At 50.1% G+C, this 13,987-nt stretch overlaps 2 protein-coding genes across 8 annotated transcripts in view, besides 2 other annotated features; one reads left to right on the forward strand and one right to left on the reverse strand.

Moving 5' to 3' along the window:
• Window positions 1-3,481, forward strand: part of P2RX3 (purinergic receptor P2X 3) — a 36,447-nt gene extending 32,966 nt beyond the window's left edge. For 6 of the 7 annotated variants that reach the window (XM_011545070.3, XM_011545069.3, XM_011545072.3 and 3 more), the window contains 2 exons: window positions 446-523; window positions 969-3,481. In XM_011545070.3, the coding sequence (XP_011543372.1) occupies window positions 446-523; window positions 969-1,082 (192 nt within the window). In that variant the 3' untranslated portion in view covers window positions 1,083-3,481. Of the gene's footprint in view, window positions 1-445; window positions 528-968 lie in introns of those variants that run through there. The other variant, XR_949950.3, reaches the window with a different exon arrangement.
• Window positions 558-1,757: an enhancer, noted in NCBI's record as "CDK7 strongly-dependent group 2 enhancer chr11:57136946-57138145 (GRCh37/hg19 assembly coordinates)". NCBI's record gives its function as "activates an origin of replication core promoter dependent on BRD2, BRD4, P300/CBP, MED14 and CDK7 cofactors, with strong dependence on CDK7, by STARR-seq in HCT116 cells {active_cell/tissue: HCT116}" and the evidence as "EXISTENCE:reporter gene assay evidence [ECO:0000049][PMID:35650434]".
• A 4,372-nt stretch (window positions 3,482-7,853) lies between the features above and the next one.
• On the reverse strand, window positions 7,854-12,235 carry PRG3 (proteoglycan 3, pro eosinophil major basic protein 2). Its single transcript, NM_006093.4, has 6 exons — window positions 12,199-12,235; window positions 11,733-11,866; window positions 10,579-10,892; window positions 9,766-9,897; window positions 8,810-8,921; window positions 7,854-7,993 (listed from the first exon to the last, which is right to left on the reverse strand). Exons 2-6 carry the CDS (start codon window positions 11,791-11,793, stop codon window positions 7,935-7,937), a joined length of 678 nt encoding a protein of 225 aa, NP_006084.2. The 5' UTR covers window positions 11,794-11,866; window positions 12,199-12,235; the 3' UTR covers window positions 7,854-7,934.
• Window positions 10,424-11,623: an enhancer, noted in NCBI's record as "BRD4-independent group 4 enhancer chr11:57146812-57148011 (GRCh37/hg19 assembly coordinates)". NCBI's record gives its function as "activates an origin of replication core promoter dependent on BRD2, P300/CBP, MED14 and CDK7 cofactors, and independent of BRD4, by STARR-seq in HCT116 cells {active_cell/tissue: HCT116}" and the evidence as "EXISTENCE:reporter gene assay evidence [ECO:0000049][PMID:35650434]".
• Window positions 12,236-13,987: the final 1,752 nt, after the last annotated feature.

The raw sequence follows: 13,987 nt of genomic DNA on the forward strand, positions 1-13,987 counted from the left end.
GCATTTTTCTAAGAGGGAACATCATTCAGTCCTCCCTGGAGGACTGGTCCCCACCCTGGCCTGCAATCTGCTAACATGCTAGCTCGGATCTCTCTTCCTCATCTTATAAAGCCACCAGCTCCCCTCCCATGATAGCCCATTAATCCATTAATCCATGCATCCATGAACGGATTAATCCATCCATGAGGGCAGAGCCCGCAGGGTCCAATCACCTCTTAAAGGCCCCACTTGTCAATACTGCCACGCTGGGGATTAAGTTTCAGCACGAGTTTGGATGAGGACATTCAAACCATAGCACTATCCCAAAAGTTTGTTGCAAGGGTGAAATGTCCTGCCCACTGTTTAGGCAGCTTGGGGGTGCTGCCCGAGCCCAGCACTTCCTGCCACCCTGATCCCACCCAACCCAGGGCACCCCTCGGAGCCCGCCCTGCCTCTCCTCCTCCAGGGAACTGTTCTCTGTGACATCATCCTGCTCAACTTCCTCAAGGGGGCCGACCAGTACAAAGCCAAGAAGTTTGAGGAGGTGAGTTGGGGAAGGGGCACCCTTGGATAAAAGGGAGAGGGGGCAGGGCAGGCAGGGGCAGGGACTCTCAGTGGCTCCCCTTCTGAGGCCTTCTGAAGGGGGGTTCACCAGGCCTCAATGAATATTTGGGGTCCAGACAAGGGAAGGCTTGGCCAAGACTGGGCTCTGCAGAGAATCTTGGGGGTTCTGTGGGTCATCTCTGTCATGGTCCCCACCCCGTCACCTCCCCTCTCCATTTCTGGGGCAGGACTAGGGGAGGCCATGGGATGAATGGGGTTTCTGTTTGCCCTCGGGGTACATGGGAGGGGCCTTGGGATCACACAGATGTCCTGGCTCCCCTCATGACTAGGTCATGGGCGCCCACTGCTGAGTCTGTCAAATGGGGTCACAAAAGAGGACATTGCCCATAGTCAGAACTTGACAACACCAGCTCTTTCGCCTGCAGGTGAATGAGACTACGCTGAAAATCGCGGCTTTGACCAACCCAGTGTACCCCAGCGACCAGACCACAGCGGAGAAGCAGTCCACCGATTCGGGGGCCTTCTCCATAGGCCACTAGGGCCTCTTTCCAGGGCCCCACACTCACAAAGGCTCCAGGCCTCCCCACAGAGGACCCTGCCTGAGCAAGGGGCATGGGAGGGAAGAGGGGCTCTCATTTCTGCTGCTCATTCCATGAGCATAGCTGGGACCCAAGTGTCTGGGCCTCCGACTGCTCCAGCAGACAGGCAGTGCTCCCTGCTGAGACCCCAATCTCACCTTCACTCCTTGCCTGGCCCCATCTGCTTCCTAGGACCCCTGGGGCAGGAGCACCTGAGCCATCCCCTTCCCAAAGAGTAGAGATTATAATGTAGGACAGATGGCCACAAGGGCCTACCAAGTGCCAGGCACTTTCACACACGTTATCTCATTTAATCCTTAGAATAATCCTATGAGGTAGATATTAGTTTCCCTTGTTTTGAAGATAAACCAAGGCTCAGAGAGACTGAGTCATTTGCCCCAGGCCAGATAGCCAGGATGTGAGAGAGCTGGGATTTGAACGTCCGTCTGACTAACTCCATCGCCCACACCCCATGAGAGAAGAATGAACTCCCAGGGTCCATCAGCCCTGCTGCTTCAGCCGCCTCCACCCTGACGGTGATTCGGTTAATAAAGAGTAAGCCCCATGCCTTTCCCAGCAACAAAGTTTGCATTTTAGGGAGACTGGTTAGACAGTGGTGAGGGACCCCATCTCTGACTTGGGTGCATCCCAAATTTAGAAGGAAACAGAAGGCATGGCTGTCAGTGAATTTTTCCTCATCACTCCCCATAGCTCTCTCCCCAAACCAGGGAAGGGGTCATTCTTGTTCTTCTCTGGGACCCCACACCCACACACATCTGGGCCCCCTCACTCTGGGGATTTGATTCCCGGACCTGGGATCCTGTCGTAGGCTGGGACCCTGTTCCAGGAGTTCAGCAGTCCTCATTTACAACAACAGTGAAAATGCTCCAGTAAGGCCTGGTGCCTTGTGAGCTGCTCAGCTGGGTTGGCCAGGCCTGTCCCCATAGGGTCTTAATAAGGTGCCCCATTTTCTAAGGTTAGAAGCTAAAGGGGCCTTTTAAACCATCTTATCTAACCCTCTTGCTTACAGATGAGCAAACTGAGGCCAGAAAGGGAAAATGACTGGTTCAGTGCCACAGTTCATGGCCAAAAAGGAACCCACATGTCCTGGCCCTTCAGGGAAGGAGGCAAGAACAGGAAGCTGGATCCATTGACCCAGACATCCTCTATCCCCTTTCTGTCCTCTCCTACAGTGAGAGGCCCAGAAATTGCCCCAGGGCAGGGCTCTGGGGCAGAACCAGGTTTTGTGAATCCTAAGCATATACAATTTGGGGGCATCTCTTTAGAAAGAATACAAAATTAGGTATTAGAAGGGGCTCATGCAAGTGAATGAGCCTAAAGAATGTTTCAATAGCTTCATGATAAATCTGCATCTGGCAGTCAGAGTGGGCATGATCATGAGGTCTTAGCTGCACCAGCTCAACTGTAGATGGAGGGCGGCCCCTCAACACACGGCACAGGAAGTGGGGAAGGGACAGCTTCAGGAGTAGTTCAGGAGGCTCAAATGGTGGGTACTTGCAAAGGCCTTGCCCAATGACCCCCCGCTCCAGGGGGAGAAGGGGTAAGACCCACCCCACATAAAGCTCAACACCCCTTCCCTCACTCTGCCCTAACCCACAGCCCCATGCCCAGGATGGTGGGGCATATCTCCCCAGGGTCAGCCTTGGGAATTGGGCAGTGCCTGGAGATCTGACCAGACTATGCTTCTCCAGCAGAGACATCAGTGAAGGCAGCACCACATTCTCCACCTGGGACTCCCCCAGGCATCCCTGGGGAATTCAGCTCTTGGGAGGCTGGGGTCACAGGGATTCTCTCTAATGGGGAGATGGAGGCAGTGGTGTCCTGAAGGGACCCTCCCCCCCAACCCCTCCCTTTTACCCAGATGGAGGTGGTCCTCCTGTAGGTGCCTCCGCCCCTCTGGAGCCGGCCAGCAAGTGTGTGTGAGCCTGAGGTTGTCCTCCGCATATCTGAACTAAGTTACCACTTCTGTGTGCTAGATGTAGGGTTAATATCAGTAGTGATAAAAACAGCTACCTTGTCTCTGTTGCATTATGGTTTACTCAGCACAATCACCAACATAATCACATGGACCCTCACACCAACGCTGGTGAGTCCGCTATGGTTTGTCATTAATCCTATTTGATAGAAAAAGAAATTTACAGTACGTGGAAATGAGATCTGGAACCTATGCCCATTCCTAACACTACATTGCCTCTTTAATCATTCAACATAAAAGCCAACACTGATTACTTACTATTGGCAGGCAATGGACCAAATGAGTGACAGGGATTGTCTAACTCAACCCCCACTTTACAGAAGAAGAAACAGATGCATACTAAAATAAAGAAACTGAAATAGAAGAACTGGGATTTGAACCTAGAACTTAATGACTCTGGAGTCTGAGATCACGACTTCTATGCTCTATCTGGGGAAAATCCAGAAACTTGTTAGTACCTTTTTTTCCTATGTGTGTTCGTTCAGGTAATACAGGTTTTGCTGCAGTGACAAGTAAAATCGCAAGGTTTAATACAGCAAAGTAGGTCAGACAGCCCCCTCCATCTGGTAGCTGTGCCATCTGAGACACTTGGACTCCCAGGTCACTGTCACAGGGAAAGTGAAAACTGGAGGATCACAGGGGGTAATCTGAAGATCAGGCCTGGAGTGGGCTTACTTCACCTCCAGCCACTTTCCATTGGCAGGATTCAGCAGCGTGCTACAGAGCCCAGCTTTACTGTAAGGATACTGGGAAAGTCCTAGTCCTCTTGGGTGTCTAGGAAGAGAAAATAGTGAGCACGGCCCTGGCTCTGCTTCGTTATCTCCATTTTAATAGCTTCTCTTCTCCCCCTCCCACCCCACTCCCACCATTTCCACTGACAATTCCACACATCCTTCCCTTCTGTGTTCCTTCTCACAAAACCTTGTTCTCAGCAAGCTGCCAATCAGCCTTCCAGGGGTATTAATAGATAACATTCTGGGGAATTTCTTCTCTCAAGAGTATTTCCTTTTTAATCAGGGGTTATTCAAGACTGGAAGGCCTTAATCAGCCAAAGGAATGAAAATATAAGAATTGACGTTGAGGCCTAATGCTAGATCGTGCTGGAGATTTGAGGGACATCTTATCTACCCTGGTCTGCCTCAAGTAAGCTTCAGTCTGGAGGAGTCTTAGCCCCTCTTCTTTCCCCTCCCTACCTCTACCCCTGGTTTTGACTGGCAGGATGTTGGGCTACTGGATTTGGCTAAAGTTCGTTCTCCATCAGGGAGATAAGTAGAGGTTATACAAAGGGCTTGGCATTCAGCTGAAATCCCAATCCCCAGACCACGTGCACAGAACTTCCTTTATCGCCTGTCCTTCCCACCCCCACAGACAGACAACACTGTTCTTCTAGAAGCATAGCATCAAAAGTGGGCTTATTCTAAAGCATGACTCTCCAATAGGAAAAAAAGAAAAAGAATGGGCTTATTCATATAAAAAAGAAAAGCTCAGTATCACTGATCATTAGAGAAATGCAAATCAAAACTACGACGAGATACCATCTCACCAGTCAGAATGGCTATTACTAAAAAGTCAAAAAATAACAGATGCTGGTGAGGTTGTGGAGAAAGGGGAACACGTGCTCCCTTGGTGGGGGCGTAAATTAGTTCAGCCATTGTGGAAAGCAGCATGGCGATTCCTCAAAGAGCTAAGAACAGAACTACCACTGGACCCAGCAATCCCATTACTGGGTGTATCCTCAGAGGAACATAAATCATTGTACCATGAAGACACAGGCACGAGAATGTTTATTGCAGCATTATTCACAATAGCAAAGACATGGAATAAGCCTAAATGCCCATCAATGACAAATTAGAAAAAGAAAATGTGGTACATATACACTGTGGAATACGATGCAGTCATAAAAAGAACAAGATCATGTCTTTTTTGGGAACATGGGTGGAGCTAGAGACCATTATCCTTAGCAAACTAAAGCAGAAACAGAAAACCAAATACTTCATGTTTTCACTTATAAGTAGGAGCTAAAGGATGAGAACTCATGAACACAAAGAAAGGAACAACAGACACTGGGGTCTCCTTGAGGGTGAAGGGTAGGCGGAGGGGGAAGAGCAGAAAAATATTGGGTAGGCCAGGAGCAGTGGCTCACGCCTGTAATCCCAGCACTTTGGGAGGCCAGGGTGGGCGGATCACGAGGTCAGGAGATCGAGACCATCCTGTGAAACCCCATCTCTACTAAAAATACAAAAAATTAGCCGGGTGTGGTGGCGGGTGCCTGTAGTCTCAGCTACTCGGGAGGCTGAGGCAGGAGAATGGCGTGAACCAGGTAGGCGGAGCTTGCAGTGAGCCGAGATTGTGCGACTGCACTCCAGCCTGGGCGACAGAGTGAGACTCTGTCTCAAAAAAAAAAAAAAAAAAAAAAAAAAAAAAAAAAAAATTGGGTAGTAGGCTTAGTACCTGGGTGATGAAATAATCTGAACAACAAATAAACCGCCGTGACATGAGTTTACCTGTGTAACAAACCTGCACATGTACCCATGAACCTAAAATAAAAGTTAAAAAAAAAAAAAAAGAAGGGACTATTGTAGTGTGTAGTGTGTGGATCTGTGTGGGGCCCTAATCCCAGGTAGCTCCCCTTCCATGCCCTTTGGGAGAAGGACCACTTGACATGCTGTGATTAGGAGCTGCCTGACCCAATTTCCATCCATGGCAGTTGGACAGACCCCTCTACTGAGGACAGGCCTTTTCATGTAGAGACAGTCCCTGGGGCCCAGCATGGGTAAAGTCCCTGGCAATGACAGCACCCATTCTCCTGCTGCCAGAGGCCTGCCCATGTTGAAGGGCCTCATCTCTCTGCTTTCTCCATCACCCACTTTCCCCAGGGCTCTCTGATCCTGTCCCCTCAACTTTAGCACCCTTAGAAACACAGCACATCTGGGAAAAGTTCTTTTCGCTCCTGAAACCACATCCCATCAGATGCTGGTACAGATATACACAAACACACAAACATAGTCCTGTATGCAGTTATGCTCAGACACACACTGAGACATATACCCACCCACATACATACCAGTCAAAGACACAGAGGAAGACACATATGCATACACAGAGAGATTTGGGAACATAAGGCTGCAAAGCTATGGAGACATATGCATTCACAGGTGTACGCAGACAGACATATCCATAAATACACAGAGATATATAAACATATGCATACTCAACATGCAAATTCATACTGACTCACAGATTTATGCACATTTACATATACAAATTCACACATATACAGGTATACACATGTACACAAACACTGACACATGTACACACCAAGATATATACGCACACATGTACATGTGCACACACAGAAATACTTTTGTATTCTCCCTGGGCCCCATGTGGAAACACACTCCCAAGAAGTCTGTCTCTCCCCACTGCCTCCACCCCCTACAATCCAGGGCTCTCTACCGTCTTGATACCCAGTCTCAGTTCTGAGTTTCCTACTTCATCAACTCTACATCCTTCCTGGAGCCCAGTACCTCATCTGTGACAAAGTTAATAGCAACAACAATAATGTCTCTCAATGTCCCCAGGGTCTGAGAAAGTGGGGGACGGAGAGACACAGAGGCCTGGGGCTGCAGAACTGGGAATGGGAACTACCAGACACCCTGGCTTTGTGCCCAGGGCCCTGCTGGGGAGAAGTCGCTCCCTCCTAAGGATGTGGCCCCTCTACAGAGGTAGGCCAGGAGGAAGGAAGGGGAGGACCACCACCCTCCTGGGAATGGATGGGGAACATGCCTCAGAGGAGGCTGGGGACTCACAGAGGTGGCTGGAAATAAAATTGGGGGCCATTACCAGAAGCCAGAAAGGCATAGGGCCAGAGGAGCAGTCTGCCCCAAGACAAGACTGCTTTCTCCCCACTTCCTCGTGTTGTCCCCTAGGTGGGACCTCAGTGTTCCACACCAACTCTTAAAACAGCTCCATCACCTTTATTTTGGAAAGCCACCCCACCCTGCACCGCATACTGAATCCAAACAAAGCAAGAGGACCAGCAAAGCACCCCACACCAACTGAGCTCCCATCCCCCACTCCCCCAGTCCTTACCCATACTCCCAACCCCTCCCTCCATCACACCCAACCCTACTCCCATCCCCACCACCATCTCCACCACTTCTACTCCCACCCCCCACTCCCCAATCCTTACCCATACTCCCAACCCCTCACCTCTATCACACCCATCCCTACTCCCATCCCCCATCTCCCACCCCTAACCCTAATCCCAACCCCTCACCTGCACCACACCCATCCCTACTTCCATCCCCCCATCTCCCACCCCCACCCCTACTCCTAACCCCTCACGTCCCCACTCCCACCCCTACTCCCATCCCCCCACCTCCCACCCCTACCCCTACTTCCAACCCCTCACCTGCACCACACCATCCCTAAACCCATCCCCCCACCCCTACTCCCATCCCCCCACCTCCCACTCCCACCCCTACTCCCAAACCATCTCCACCACCTCTACTCCCACCACCCACACCCCTGTCCCCATCCTCCCAACCCTACCCCACGCCCGGGGAGGCCTTCCGGCCGCCCCAGGTCCCGCTCTGCCGCCCAGCGCCGCCGCCAGCCCCCACCGGGCCGCCCTACTCGGCCATGGCTCACTTTCCCGAGAGTGAATGCTTCCAGGATTTTTCCGAACTGGAGTAATCCCCAAAGTGAGCAATAAAGAAACGAGAGTCAGGAAATGCTGTGGGAAGTCTGGATTTATGAGCAGGAGAGGTTGGGGGACGGGAGGGAGCTGCTGGCAGGGTCTCCGTGCCGCTGGCTTAGAAGGAGCAGACGAAGGGCAGTTGCTTGTCGCATTGAGCTCGTCGCCAATAACCTCCTAGCAGCACAGAGCACAGTGAAGTCCACCGCCCTGCGGGGTCTGGCCTGGGCTTCACCTCTTTCCCTCCTCAGGGGCCCCCTATGTCCCCATCTATGGCCATCGTCATCTGCCAGCTGTGTGCTTGCCCCACATCCCTACTGGCTCACATTTGCTGAGCTCTTACTGCTAGCTAGGCTGTGTGCTAACTGCATTAGATGGACTTAGGTGGACTATTGCATTTAATCCTTACCATGACTCCAAGAGGTGGGTGCTGTCATCATCCCCATTTCACAGATGAGGAAACGGGGGCTTAGTAGAGATAAACAACGTGCCTGTATCTCAGTTGGCAAGTGGCAGCACTGGGATGTGAACTGCAGCAGTCTTGCTCTAGCACATATGGTCTCAGCCACTATACTAAACTCACATCTGGCACCCATGCTGCTGCCCATGTCTGCTGTTGGAGGTGGGCATCTTGTCTCTCAGCCATCCCTAATTCCCCCATCCTTCCTTTTCTCTCATCCACGCCTTATATCCACTTCCGCTACTCTCATTGGTCATACCTGTTGTTCGAATTTATTGCCCTCATATCAAAGGAGGCAAAGAATTTTCCCACACACACACCATCCAGCCCACCCCCCTGTCTCCAGAACTCCTATCACCTGGTTTTGCTTTGAGGATTCCCTATGTCTCAGCCCTCCTTACACACAGGACTTTTGTTCTTCAGTCAGCGGGAGGGTCTGAGTTTGGGGAGGTGTGTTCAGGCAGCTCAAAGGGGTAGTATTAAGAATCCACTTTACTATCCCTTCTCCCTGCCCTGGTGCCCTTCCCCCTCACCTTTGGTGCATAGGGCCACACAGGAGCCTTGCCCATTCCCAGGTTGCCCTGGGGACCAGTAAGCAAAATTCCAGTGGCTCCCATCAGTCCAGCAAAACCGCTTCCACAGGAACTAGAGAAGTGACAGGCTAGGTCAGAGGGCAGAAGTTCAGATCCAGGACCTCATGGAATACCCCCTGTTGACTTCTCTCACTGCCTACCTGGCCAGGAGCCAGACACCCTAGAGAGCCATTCCTAAGAGTTTCCAGGCAATGACAGGAAGAGCAACCATCTCTCTCAGCCATCACACAGAGCAGGCTTCTCAAACTTTACTGTGCGTACGTTATCTCCTGGGGATCTTGTTAAAATGGAGGTTCTGATTCAAGAGGTCTGTGGTGGGGTCCAAGATTCTGCAGTTCTAACAAGCTCCCAGGGGATGGTGGTACTGCTGATCTATGGACCATACTGCTGATCTATGGACCGTACCAAATATAATGCCACTTATTCACCCACAATTCCAGAACCACCCTGAGAGAAGAAGGTCCCCATTTCAGGGATTGAAAAAAAACAGAGGCTCCAAGAAACCTATTTAACTAGCTTTCTAAGTGACTAAGCTGGGCCTGGACTCTGTCTCATGACTCCAGTGGTATGCTGGTAAATGTTTATACCAGCTCTTGGGGTGGGTGGGAGGATGGGGAGTAGAAAGGAGCCCTGATGTGTAGCAATTGCCTATTTCCTTTGTGTAAATACTCCCACCATGGCTGATGTCAAGCTGCAAGCATGTAGTCACTGAGCATGGAGTTGGTAAGAGATGTGCACCATCAGTTCTCCTGAGCCAGTACAAGCCATCTCCAGCACATCATTGCCTGCCACATTAAGGAAACCTTAGCTGCTGGCCTGAGGCTTGGCACCATCAGATGCTACTTTAACACATTCAGAAAGAACTTACTGCACCCAAGATTTGGCCCCTGACTTACCCAGCCCCTGAGGTTGCCTCCAATCCAGACCTGGGCTTGGTTGACTGTGCTAGTGCAGCACTGAATGCGATAGTTGAAGTTGAAGTCATGGATAGAGACAAGGTTGCCTCCGTAGCATCTGCTGCAGACATTCTGCAGACGGAAACAAAGTAGAGAATTCCCTCTCATTTATTTCAAGTTTCTGAGTCTCCAGGCAAGAGCCCGGCATCCCTTTTCAGGTTAAAAATAAACCTACTTGCCTCCCTTAATCCTATCTTTTGCTTCTTAATTAGCTGTCAGGACAATCCTACAGGAAATGATAATACTCATAATAATTATAACCACCGCTTATTGAGAGTTTATTACAGCCCAGTGACTATTCCAAACACTTTTCATGTATTATCTCATTTAATGCTCACCACAACTCTAAGAAGTTGGTGCTATATATCTTCGTTTTACAAATGAAGGTGCTAAAGCTTTGAAAGGCAAAGCAACTTGCCCAGGTAACACAGCTAATAAAAGGCAGAACCAGAATTTAACACAGGCGTTTCTAACACCAAAGCCTTTTGTTTAAATCGGTGGTTCTCCCCAGACCAACAATATCATCATCACCTGGGGATTTGTTGTAAATGCAAATTCTCAGGCTTCACCTCAGCCCTCCTAAATCAGAAGTCGTGCAGGTGAGGCCCAGAAAGCTGTGTTTTAACAACAACTCCAGGTGATTCTGATGCATGCGAGGCTTTGAGAACCACTAGCCTAAATGAATAGGGAACAGAAGACTGAATGTACTCTCTTTTCCCCCAGGTCCTCCGCAGTAGCCTCCCTACTACTTACCTGAGCTTCTGCAAAAGTTTTAGGAGTCCGCACCAATAGGTAGCGGCAGATCTTGCACCTTGGACTTCCCTGCACTTCAACAATGTCTTCTTCCCTGGGGCACTGGAAGTCCTTGTCTAAGGCAGCTGGGTCCGACTCCATGGCTTCCTCATCCTCAAAGTTGTCTTGACAGGCAGAAGCCTTGACCTCCTCTCCCTCTGCCTGAATCACCTCCTCCGTCAGAGCCAAGTCTCTCTCCTGCTCCTTTGAACTATCCAGATCCTGGCCTAGGTCTGCCTGTGTCTCTAGGCTCTCCAGATGGGGGGCATCATTCTCTGGGAAGAAGAGGTAACCTGCCATCAGGTCAAGAGCTTCCTAGTTCCAGCACCGTGGACAGCTCCAGCAACGTCGCTCGAGCTTTCCTAGGAATTCCACCTGAAGACAAGACTGGAGGATTTCCTTGGTGTTAGGTAAGGAGAGATCTCTCGGGTCACACCCACAAATGGACAAGAACCTGACTTCTGGCCGACACCACGAGTGTGTGTTTTGAAGGTGGGAGAAAGCACGTGTGAGAAGCCTGGGGCAGTCACCAGCCCTTCATCTTAACAGGTGGGTGGTTTTTCCTTCTGAAAGTTCAGGTTACAGTTTGCCGGGTGCGGTGGCTCACGCCTGTAATCCCAGCACTTTGGGAGGCCGGGGCGGGCGAATCACAAGGTTAGGAGTTTGAGACCAGCCTGGCAAATATGGTGAAACCCCATCTCTACTAAAAATACAAAGATTAGCCAGGCGTGGTGGCATGTGCCTGTAGTCCCAGCTACTCAGGAGGCTGAGGCAGAAGAATTGCTTGAACCCGGGAGGCGGAGTTTGTGGTGAGCCGAGATCGCGCCACTGCACTCCAGCCTGGGCAACAGAGCGAGACTCCGTCTCAAAACAAAACAAAAAACAAACAAAAAAAAAAACAAAAACAACAACAACAAAAAAAAATCAAACAAAAAAGAGAAAGTTCCAGGTTACAGTTCTGAGTCCAAGTGATATCTTACCGGAGATGAGCTGTATCAGCTAAAGAGGGAAGGCTGTGGTCCTGGCCTCATGAGTGCAAATAAAAGCGGGGGGAGGGGAGTGTAGGAAAAAGGAAAAAAGGGAAAGACGCATGAGGAGGGAAGGGAGAGACTTACCCAGATGAAGAGCAGAAACTGTTCCCAGCAGGAGAAAGGGCAGGAGCAAGAGGCATTGCATATCTACTGTCTTTTAGCGAGGACACTACTCCACCGTCCTTCTTGGGGCTGTCTTTGTGTGTCTAGTATAGCCCCTGGCACATAGTATAGAGGGAATATTTGTTTAATTGTTTGATTAAAGAGCAAACAAGATTGCTTTCTCCTCTTGCCATGAACAGACCCTGAGCTGGAGAGTCTAGAAAAGGAATGGTGGGAGGGATAACTCAGGTACCAAATTTCATTTGTCTTCCAGTCTCCGTTGCTGCTCTCCAGTATCACCCTTAGCCCAGACTCCTGCCCCTGCGGGGACAGGTCTGCTTAGCTATGATGTTCCTAAGGACAGGCCTCCTACGTGTTTGCCCTATGAGGTGCTGCTTCTTCCCAGGGCCTACACTGGTCCTGCCTGGGCAGCCAGAAAAGAACTCACCTTCCAAGAGTCTGAGACCTCCACTCTCAGTGCCTCTGGCTTCAGGGGCCAGAAGCAGCCTTTATACTGGGTTTTTGGGGAAGTGGGAAGAGGCCAGAATGATTGCTCCAGGACAGAGTGGGGGACAAAGGAGCTGATAATGAAGTTTGCTCAGTCTTCTCAACCCTGTGCCCTGCTCTCTGCTGGGACTGCAGGGACCTGCCTCCTGGGGCCTACTGCCTTGTTTGGGTACCCCACACCCTGGTTTGCTTCAGAAGGCCCTAGATGTTATGTCCATTGTCCAGGCATAATTATTATTTATGCCCCCTAAAATGCCCCAGTCTGAACAACACGCCTTAACTCCAGGAGTAGCCTCCTGCTGGTGGAATCCCAGAGAGTGAAGTGGAGATCCCAGGGAGCTGGTGGGAGACAATGGGGGGAAGAAACAAGAGGGGAAAGGGAGGTTCAGTGCTCCCAAGCTCTCACCCATCCTAGGGGCATAGTGTGCAACACACCCCTCACCCTCATCTCCGCATCATCTCCACCAGGTACCACCCCTACTTCACAGAGGCAAAATGTGAGATTCAGAGAAAGAGAGAAGGCAACTTGCCAAGGTTCCATGGGAAGTGGAAGAACTGGAATTTCTAAGTCTTTTTGACTCCAAAACCTTCTCTCTTTCTTTCCTCTCTCTCTTTTTTCTCTCCCTTCCTCTTTCTCATCTTTTTTTTTTTTCTTTTTGAGACGGAGTCTTGCTCTGTCGCCCAGGCTGGAGTGCAATGGCAAGATTTTGGCTCACTGCAAGCTCCACCTCCCGGGTTCAAGCGCTTCTCCTGCCTCAGCCTCCCAAGTAGCTGGCTAATTTTTTGTATTTTTAGTAGAGATGGGGTTTCACTATGCTGGCCAGGCTGGTCTTGAACTCCTGACCTCGTGATCCACCCACTTCGGCCTCCCAAAATGCTGGGATTACAGGCATGAGCCACTGTGCCTGTCCTCATCTTTTTTTTTTTTAAGAGACAAAATCTTGCTCTGTCACCCAGGCTGGAGTGCAGTGCTGCGATGATAGTTCACTGTAACCCTGAATTCCTGGGCTCAAGTAATCCTCCTGCCACAGCCTCCTGAGTCACAGGGATTACAGGCACAAGCTTTCTCATCTTTAATGTGTGAAAAATCTACATCCTTTCTTCTGTGCTGTGGATCTAGATCAAGGTTCCTCAACTTTGTGCTATTAATATGTGAGGTCAAATAACTCTTTATTGTGGAGGGGCTGTCCTGGGCGTTGTAGAAAGTTTAATGGTCCCTCTGGTCTCTACTCACCAGATGTCAGTAGCCCCTCTCCCCACCCCCGCAGATGATCAAAAATGTCTCCACATGTTTCCAAATGTCCTCTGGGGAGAAAAATGGCCCCAGTTGAGGATCTCTGATCTAGGATATGCCACCTTGCCCAACCTCAAGGCATAGCTTCAGGGCTGGCAAACAGGCAGCATGAAAAGCTCCATACAGAGTCTCTCCAGCACTCTGTAGATCATCCTCTCCAACCAACACTCCCCTCCTCACCTCCCATCTCCCACCAGTCTTCTGTCACCCCAGGGTCTGGACTAGAATCAGGCAGGGGAGGCTCTCAACTCAGACACACTAAGAAATTAAGGGGACACTAAGAAATTTACTATTCAAGATAAATAACATTTTAATGCAACATTTCTTAAAAATTGAAATTAATGCAAAACAAAACATCAAAATTTTAACTGACCAAGCTCTAGACAAAATTTGCTGCACTTTAAAGAGAGGCCAGCATGTCTCAAGCCTTGAATTT

This window comes from Homo sapiens, chromosome 11 (assembly GCF_000001405.40).
Source record: "Homo sapiens chromosome 11, GRCh38.p14 Primary Assembly".
NCBI lineage: Eukaryota > Metazoa > Chordata > Mammalia > Primates > Hominidae > Homo > Homo sapiens.